Source organism: Homo sapiens, chromosome 12 (genome assembly GCF_000001405.40).
Source record: "Homo sapiens chromosome 12, GRCh38.p14 Primary Assembly".
Lineage (NCBI taxonomy): Eukaryota > Metazoa > Chordata > Mammalia > Primates > Hominidae > Homo > Homo sapiens.
The window spans coordinates 73,960,856-73,971,434 of NC_000012.12; positions in this window are offsets into that span (position 1 = coordinate 73,960,856).

The window sequence follows — 10,579 nt, forward strand, 5'->3', positions numbered from 1 at the left end:
ATTGACATAGATAAGCTTAAAAGGCCTTATGAACATACAGATTTTTATTTCATACTACATGAAAGAAAATGCCTTTTACTAGGAATAATAGTCTATATTAAAGGAAAAATCTGCGTGTCACTTTAGGTGTCAAAAAAGACTTAAAAAAAATGTATCCCCAAATTATATTTCTCTCTCAAGAAAATACACTATTCCTTGCCAACATTAAAAAGTCAATTTTATCATAGAATAAAAATCAAAGACATACACTTAAAAATTATAAATTAAGATTATCATCTTCATAAAACAATACTCTAATTTTGCTCTCCTGGGAGTAAGGCACATTACTTTCATCAAATTCAACTATAAAAGCTCTATTTCACACTTAAATAAAAAGGATATGTTAAAATGTAAAACAATACCTTATAGTATAAATAGAAAAAAATTGACAAAACAATTATATCTTATACTCTTCATTATCTGCTCAGCTTCTGTAGTTGTTAAGGTCAAGAGACAAATGTTAACAGGAAGGCTGAATTTCAATAGATGTGATAATACAGACTTTAATCACAAATGTTAAATGCTTTCCATTTGGTTGGCTATGGAAAAAGACCTGAAGCTCAACTATAGATGATAATTAGAATGATAAAATTCAGAAATATAATATCAAAACACTGCAGATTCCAAACAATTTTTATTTTTGATTGACTACTCTTATACAGATTCCTATGGTTTAAAGGGGAAAAATGTTTCCTGCTTATGAGGAGAAATTTATTCCAACAACTTTTTAAGAAATGTTCTAACCATACTACTTATTCTAATCAAACCAGTCAAACTGTCAAAGATCTTTAACCATCAACATCATCATCATCATCATCATCACCTGTAGTGCTAGTAGTAGTAGTAGTAATAGTAGTTAAGATTATTTTGGTGGGTACAAGAGTCATTTGTATTTATAATTTATTGCATGTGTTTTTATTTTGTTCTTCAATTGTTTTCAAATTATTAAGGTTGCTTATCTACTTATATTTATTTTCTAAATTAAATACAGACAGTATTGAGAGGTTTATTAGTAAGCTAAACTTTATCATAAACTTAAAGCTGGCTGCTTTTTGCCTTCACATAAGCAGATTTTCTTTTAGGATGCTATATTATCTCATGATAGGTCTTCCTTCATGTTTGATTATTTGATCACCAAATGAGCTTGAGGAGGCTGGAGTTAAAACAGCTGCCCTGCTCTGCATTGATTATCTTTACTGGGGGATGCCTTTCATAAAATAAGAGAAAATTGCTGATCTGCTCTGAATAGGTTTGCCAATTAGACCTCTTGGGAGATTAACCTAATGATATTTGCCAGAGTTCTAAGCTACAGAATATTCTTAGCAACATACCTTTGCCTAAAGATTACTTATAGTTAATAAATCCAGGATCTATGGATTTCTGAGGCACGGTAAATTTTATAACACTCTGAGGTATAAAGTGGAGGTATTTCACAACCTAAACTCTCCCTCCTTGCTGCGTGAGACGACCCCACAGAACCTCACCTAGGGACCTTGTCCATTCATTCGGGGCCAAAAATACATGGAACTAGTGTGGAAAGAGAAGGAGCTGCTCTAGATGTCCCAGACCTCTTTTTGCTTTTGTGCCTCTTGATTGCCTTTGATCTTAAAATTATTAGAACATTTGATATTAGCTGATATTTGTTAATATTAAAATCTTTAATTTGTATGAGTCTTATTTAACAATCCAATCTTGAATATTAACTTAGAATCTTATCTAAAATAATGGATTTTGTTAACCAGTGAATCCCATAAGACAAATAAGTATTATTTTCTGTTCCAAATGATACCTGACCTTAAAATAAATATGAGATTAGAAAAAAAGTTGTCTCATTATTTTTGAATTCTTTAACTTTTATGTGATATTTTATGTCAAATTTAGACTCCCTTTCACTCTTCTTTCCTGGAAAGCAAGCAAAGCAAGAAAAATTAAAAGGAAGAGTCAGCAAGTTAAAATATTTTACTAAAAATGTGGGGTTTTAATTTAAAAATATATGTAATAAACCTTTGAAATTCTAACTTTAATTTTAAAAATTTAAAATAATAAATAATAAGCTAAAATAACATAGATACATTAACGCAAATGTATTTTGCGTTAATGTATGTATTTTGTATTGCAGATACAAACTTCCTCTTGCAGATGATTTTCTGGATGATCAACTGTGAAAAAATATTATGCAATTTTTCACAGGGGCTGATGCAAGGCCACACCTCATTTCTATATAAAAATTTACCAAAAACCATTTCCTGAGAGTTGCTTATCTTTTCCACACTTTAAACATGGTAAAATGAATACGTTTGACTAATGAGAAAGTTTTCAAATACCTGAGTTCTTTGTCTCATTAATTCTAGGATAGGCAACATCAGTCCTTTGCAGTAACATATAACAAGAAAAAGCCCTATAAATGCATAGGAGTATAGCACATTTAAATAATTTTCACCAAGCTGATACTTACATGTTTACCAACGCTAGCATTTCTGCAGGGGTCGGGATACAAGAGTGTCTGTTTTCAAAGACTTATCAGGATACATTGAAGAAAATATCAGTTTAGATGTAGTAGATGTTAAGGAATATGTCTTTTTTTTTTTTTTTTTTTTTTTTTGAGACGGAGTCTCGCTTTGTTGCCCAGGCTGGAGTGCAGTGGCACGATCTCGGCTCGCTGAAACCTCCGCCTACTGAGTTCAAGTGATTCTCCTGCCTCAGCCTCTCGAGTAGCAGGGTTTACAGGCATGCACTACCACGCCCGGCTAATTTTTGTATTTTCAGTAGAGACGGGGGTTTCGCCATGTTGGCCAGGCTGGTCTTTAAATCCTGACCTCAGGTGATCCGCCCACCTCGGCCTCCCAAAGTGGTAGGGTTACAAGCGTGAGACACCGCACCCGGCCAGAAATATGTTTATTTTTAATGTGCATGCTTATATTAATTTCTTTGTCTTCGCAACGAAAAATTATTTAAAATATGTTAATTAAATTATTTAGAACATTATTTTTAAGTATAGAAATTAATTTGATAGTCATTATTAGAAATGTTTATTTTATTATCAGATAACGATATTGTCTAGAAAAAAAATTCCAACCCCACCAAAAATTTCTAGCCTCAAATGATTTTCCAAATAGATTTTCTTAACAGAATTACTGCCTATCTGAAATGGCAATATTGAAATAATCATCAGTTGTAGTGTTCATTTTTCAAAATTGCCTTAATGTTGTTATTGTTAAATACTGATGATGAGAACAATGATGTCTATTTTGCTTAGAAGACATATCCAAAGAACCTGTTTTTAAAGAGCTGAATACCATTATATTAGAAAGCCTTAATTATCTCCACCTCTGATTTCCAGTTTCTTTTCTAACTTTCACATGCGGATTTAAATAATCTCAATCCCCAGGCTCTTTAAAAAGAGGCACAGCAGAAGACACACCTACAAATTTTAAATCAGTAACATCAAATCATATTCTACCTGTTAAGATGCTTTATTAATAATAAATCAGAATAAACAAAGCAAAAACTACCTTTACTTGATTTCCACTAGACAGTTTTTGTATAAGAGGGAGATTTTAAGCAGTGATAATGACCCTTGCCAGGGAATCTAGTTCATGCATAAAAATTGGGAGAGTCGTAGCCTTTTCCACTTCCCATCCCTGCTCTAATTCTGAACCACCGCCCCTCTCCACCATCAGATATCTATAATGGTGTGTCTTGCCCCTGTTTGTTTCATGTTTCCATATTCAATCATATTATATTCATAAGGGGTATTTGAAGGCTTTATCTCCTTTATTGGAGATCTGAATCCAAGCCACATAACCACTTTTCTTGGGACATTATCTTGAAACACAGAGCAGTATCCTCTGTTTATTGCATATCAGCACTAGCTCTAATCAAACCTTCCTGTTCTGCTACCCCACCTGCAATTTCCGTAATTAGGTATTGTACCAAACAGTACCCTCTATAGACTTTGTGGTAGGCTGAATGATGGCTGCTCCAAAAACGTTCATGTCCTTTAGAGTTTGCAGATGTGATTGAATTAAAGATTCTAGGAGCAGATGCTCCTAGTTTATTTATTTAGGTCTACTAATGTAATCATAAAGGTCCTTATAAAAGGAGGCGGTAAAGTTGGAAATTCAGAGAAGGAGATGTCACAGTAAAAGCAAGCAGCTGGAGCAAGGTGAGACATATGAGAAGAGATTTTAGGAAACATTTACTGCTTACTTACTAAACCTTTCCTATCCATTTTTGTTGATTTTATTTTCAATGTTAGTTTCAGATTTTCAAAAATGCTATCACTAACTCTTCTATTATTTGATTTTTGTTTATGTACCAAGCTTTTTAGAAATAAATTTTAATTTATTTTCTGATTTTTTTATTCATTATGTCCTTTACTTGTAATTCTCTTAAATACTTCATTACATTTCAAAGCCACATTAAGCTGTTATTTAGATTTAACTATAAGCATAATTGAAGTTAAAAATATTTTGTGTGTATGTTTGGAAAGAATTGAACATTCTATTTGAAGAAAAAATAAAAATACTAATTGATTAGAATTTTATGTATGTTTACAAAATTTTGTTTGTGTTTACAGTTTTTGGGAGGAGTCTTCACATACATAGTTTTATTGGTTTACTGGTTCTTGAAACAGGTTGCCAAATTTCTAATTAAAAAGATTATAATCATTTATATTACCTCCAATAATAATTAAAATTAAAATGACAATCAATAATTACTCTCAAATTTGCATGTCTCCATTGCAATTTCAATAGTTTTTCTAGCAGGTTGAGTGAAATATATTTTTCTATTGCTTTTCTCTGCACATTTATTAAAAGTGACCATTTTTCTAATATTAAAGAGTATTATGAAAGCATAAAGCCAGATACACTTTGTCAAGTCACAGAGATTACTGCTCCAATTCAATGCTAACAAAAGTGAGTTTACCCTTCTCTCAGAATCCTACTTTCTGCTATGGCAAAGTTTAGATAATGTTAAAACCACATAGTAATTTTCTAAGTCTTAAAACCCAAAGAATCATAGATGTCTTTTCCCTATCCTTTACCCAACACATTCTATCAATTAGTGAATTTTACTTATCCCATATTTTGAATGTCTTTTGTCTTTCAGTAATTTTCACTGTGCCTTTACCATTTGGATCCTTATTAACCTTTACCTTTCATTATTCCAGTATGATTTTCTTTTCTCTGTCTCTAGCGTGTCCAGGCTCCAATTCATCCCTACCACTGCTGACAATGGTAAATATCTAAAACAAACATGTTATCAGTTTACTTTATCATCTAAAAAACATACAATGCCTTATAGTAGTATATAAGCCAAAAAATACAAATTCCAAAACAAAGCTTCCACATTCAGCTGCAGATCTCATTTCCTAACTAATTTCTTATTGCATTTTTCCACTATTTCTCTGCACCTTTTGCCCAAGATTTGAAGAATCCTCATCTTTTCTGGGTATATCCATCCTCCATAAGCTTTTGTGTATTACAAATGTGTTTCATATAGTTGGCTTTGACCTAACTGGTAGGTCATGAAATTAATTCAGTGGGCTACAACTAACATCTTTCAATAAAATAGAAGTCAAATGTCTTACACCATTTATATATTCTGTAAATATATATTTAACTAAGTGGCATGATTCTTTAATGATATACTTCTGCCTAAAGTATGTAATGACACTTATAGACTACATTAGATTTGGGCAAAGTTTTTTTTGTTCGTTTGTTTATTTTTTGAGACGGAGTCTCGCTCTGTCGCCCAGGCTGGAGTGCAGGTAGCGTGATCTCGGCTCACTGCAAGCTCCGCCTCCCGGGTTCACACCATTCTACTGCCTCAGCCTCCCGAGTAGCTGGGGCTACAAGTGCCTGCCACCACGCCTGGATAATTTTTTGTATTTTCAGTAGAGACGGGGTTTCACCGTGTTAGCCAGGATGGTCTGGATCTCCTGACCTTGTGATCCGCCCGCCTCGGCCTCCCAAAGTGCTGGGATTACAGGCATGAGCCACCGTGCCCGGCCCCAGATTTGGGCAAAGTTTTAATGCTTCTTTTCACCTGTATTGATTATACAGTTTGGAACTCAAATACAATATCTCAGAACATTTATTTTAAAGAAAATGTTTTTTCTCTAAATGAAACTTTTACAGATTCCGTAAGTGGAAAATACATGTATTAAAAACTATGTTAATATATAAATAGTTAATAAGTTTAGTTGAAAAAATAATCTAAAAATTCTCTTTGATCTCTAGGCAAGGGGAATGTGCTATATATGGTGTGATACAAAATAGAAAATTGCTAGTTTGCTAACTTTATGAAGCTCACAATCGAGTTTGTTGCAGGCAGAAGGGCTTCAGTCACAAATGTCATAATATTTCTAGATTTAAAAATAGCTATAAATGGCCACCCAAAACATAGTATGAGGTAGTATACAGTAATCATCCAAATAAATTAACAAATATAAAGTATAATTTCTAAAAGCATTATGATTTTATATTATGGTGGTGAGTAAAATTAAGCAAAGCATGGTACAAATCAAAGTGATAATGAAGCACAATAATTTTAAGAAGAGGATTAATAATTTTAAAATATATGAACAATTTACAATTATCTTAATAATTTTGGTACAAGTGAGCAGAATAATTAGGTGACATAATAGTGTATTCAATTACAAATTTGTATATTATAAAGATTAGCAAAATTGAAGACAAAATATAACTACATTAGGAATAGCAATTTTAAAAATTAAAGTTTGAATTGGTTCAGATGAGCATTAAAATCAAAGAAAATAAAAAGTTATGAAAATGTTAAGAAAACACTATTTGTTAGCAAAATAAAGTGAAAGGTAACAAAGCCATTAGTCTCAAAGAAAAGTCCAGAAATAGGGAAATTCAAAGAATATTTAACGTCCAACTAAATCTGTGTATCACCCTTTTTAGATCAGAAACTGATCGTCTTCCTGCAATCAATCATGATAAATATAAGAACTAGTTAAAGAAAATAATAACTGTGGCTAGAGAAAAATCTTGTGTATGGTGACTTATAACATCAAAGATTATAATTTATATGTTCTGTCTACTTAGCCTATATATTATGTAATATTCTTATTGGGATTGTTTTTTCAGGAGTTATGCTCATCTGTTTGCCTTTATTCAGTTTGATACAATTTGCTAAGACCACATTGATTTGACTTGATTTCCTAAGACCCCTTTCCTGCCTTGTATGCCAGGACATATGGAGAAAGGGCAGGATACATGGAATTGCAAACAATTCAGTATGGAGTGAGGGCATTGAGAAGCAGTGATTATTAAGCCTTTTATTCAATGATGAAAAGATTTATTTGCCCCATGGCAAAGAAAATGTTTCCAAACATTTTAATTCAGAAAATGATATGGTAAATTTATAATTTTAAAAGATTACTCTGGGATTCATATAGAAAATAGATCAGTAAAGAGTTTGAATATATCCAGAAGCATGAGTTAGGAAGTTCTTACAATACATAATAAATAATAAAGCCCATGCTGAAAGAATCATTATGAAAATAGAGATAATATAAGAAAATATTTAAAAGAAAAAATATATAAAATATACACATAGAGAGAGGGAGAGAAGTGAGTGTAGATAAATTGTTGGGTTTGTTATATAACATTAAGCAGAGAAATTAGCAATATTGCCATTTTACTAATCAAGTCTCAATATTACCCATCAATATTACCCAAAAATATACTCTACTTTGAGAAACAGAAGTCTCTTTGCTAATACCTTAATTTCTGGATTCCTCTGCCTAAGTCTCAGCTTTCAAATTTTAACCACTTTCACTTACTATATTACCAAATGTATGATTTATTTTATACTCCATAATTATCCTCTAAAATAGTACAATGACCAATAAAATTGGAGCAAGATAAGAAGAAAAGACTACACTCATCAGTTTTATGACAAACTCTACAATATCTCCTTCACTTTTTACTGCACCAGGGTTTCCTGTCTGTGGATCAAAGGTATCAGTCAGAAGAAATAGGTTATGCTGAAATAACAAAAAGCCTACAAATGTCATTGGTTTACAAGAGCTGAGGTTTATTTCTTATTTATACTACATGTCCATCACAGGATAGTTTGAGGCAAGGCACATTATGATTGCTAAGAAACCCAGGAAGAAACCACCATTTCAAATGTTGCTTGTGCTTCAAGAAGAGGAAATTATAAAGAGTTTTACACTGACAATTTAGTGCTTGAGTCTGCAGGTGACACCAACTATTCTGGTTTGTAAAATTGAAATACTACTGGCATATGAGATTGTGCAGTCCAGGCTAACTACATTAACCTGAGCCTGCTGGGAATAATCTCTAAATGCTAGCAGTGATTGAGAAAGATAAATCAAACAGTTTGATAAAGAATAAGGATGAAAAGCTTAGTAGATGAAGCTTGGCTTAGTGGCAACAACTCTGAGAAGAATCAACTTAGCAAAGAAAAAATAAATGAATTGCACAATGTCAGATATTTAAGAAGGCAACATTCTCTTGTGGTCAAATTAAACGACATTAAAATCATTTGGCAAATCACTGATGAAAAGTAGGTTGGTAATGTGTTCAACAATTAACTAGAATATGCCTATGCTGAAAGTAATTCTATAAAGAGTATATGAAGCATTTCAGGAAAGTAAATCTCAATAAACACCAAAAATATTCATAATACTTAACCATAAATATTTTATAGTATACTAGAAACATTAACCCTGGAGATTGAAGATTGGCTTCCAGGTGTTTGGTTAAGAGTAAGTAACATAACGTTCTGAGGTTGGTTTACTTATCAATATAATATAGGTTGATCTAAGTTAGGACTCAGAAAACTAAGGTTCTTGGGCCAACTATATCCAACGGCCTACTTTTTTTAATAGTTCTCAAGCTAACGATGCTTTTAATGTTTTTTAAGTGAAAAGTAAGAAGGAGGAAGAAGAGGGAAAGTGGGTGAGGGGAGAAAGAAAAAAATGCTATAGAAATGAAGTAAATTTAATAGTGGTGGATAAGCTTTTTGATGTGCTGCTGGATTTTGTTTGCCAGTATTTTATTGAGGATTTTCGCAGCGATGTTCATCAGGGATATTGGCCTGAATTTTTCTTTTTTTGTTGTGTCTCTGCCAGGTTTTGGTATAAGGATGATGCTGGCCTCATAAAATGAGTGAGGGAGGAGTCCCTCTTTTTCTATTGTTTGGAATAGTTTCAGAATGGTACCAGCTCCTCTTTGTACCTCTGGTAGAATTCAGCTGTAAATCTGTCTGGTCCTCAGCTTTTTTTTGATTGGTAGGCTATTAATTACTGCCTCAATTTCAGAACTTTTTATTGGTCTATTCAGGGATTCATCTTCTTCCTGGTTTAGTCATGGGAGGGTGTATGTGTCCAGGAATTTATCCATTTCTTCCAGATTTTCTAGTTTATTTGTATAGAGGAGTTTATAGTATTCTCTGATGGTAGTTTGTATTTCTGTGGGATCAGTGGTGATATTCCTTTTATCATTTTTTATTGTGTCTATTTGATTCTTCTCTCTTTACTTCTTTATTAGTCTGGCTAGCGGTCTATTTTGTTAATCTTTTTTTTAAAAAAAACAGCTCCTGTGTTCACTGATTTTTTTGAAGGGTTTTCCGTGTCTCTATCTCCTTCAGTTCTGCCCTGATCTTAGTTATTTCTTGTCTTCTGCTAGCTTTTGAATGTGTTTGCTCTTGTTTCTCAAGTCAGCTTCATCCCTGGGATGGAAGGCTGCTTCAACATACACAAATCAATAAATGTAATCCATCACATAAACAGAACCAAAGACAAAAACCACATGATTATCTCAATAGACGCGGAAAAGGCCTTCGACAAAATTCAACACCATGCTAAAAACTCTCAATAAACTAGGTATTGATAGAAGAACCTATCTCAAAATAATAAAAACTATTTATGACAAACCCACAGCCAATATCACACTGTATGGGCAAAAGCTGGAAGAATTCCCTTTGAAAACTGGCACAAGACAAGGATGCCTTGTCTCACCACTCCTATTTAACATAGTATTGGAAGTTCTGGCCAGGGCAATCAGGCAAGAGAAAGAAATAAAGGGTATTCAAATAGGAAGAGAGGAAGTCAAAATGTCTCTGTTTGCAGATGACACGATTGTATATGCAGAACATCTCATTGTCTCAGCCCCAAATTTCCTTAAGCTGATAAGCAACTTCAGCAAAGTCTCAGGATACAAAATCAATGTGCAAAAATCACAAGCATTCCTATACACCAATAATAAACAAAGAGCTAAATCATGAGTGAACTCCAATTCACAATTGCTACAAAGAGAATAAAATACCTAGGAATGCAAGTTACAAGGGATGTGAAGGACTTCTTCAAGGAAAACTACAAACCACTGCTCAAGGAAATAAGAGAAAACACAAACAAATGGAAAAACATTCCATGCTCATGGATAGGAAGAATCAATATTGTGAAAATGGTCATACTGACCAAAGTAATTTATAGATTCAATGCTATCTCCATCAAGCTACCATTGACTTTCTTCACAGG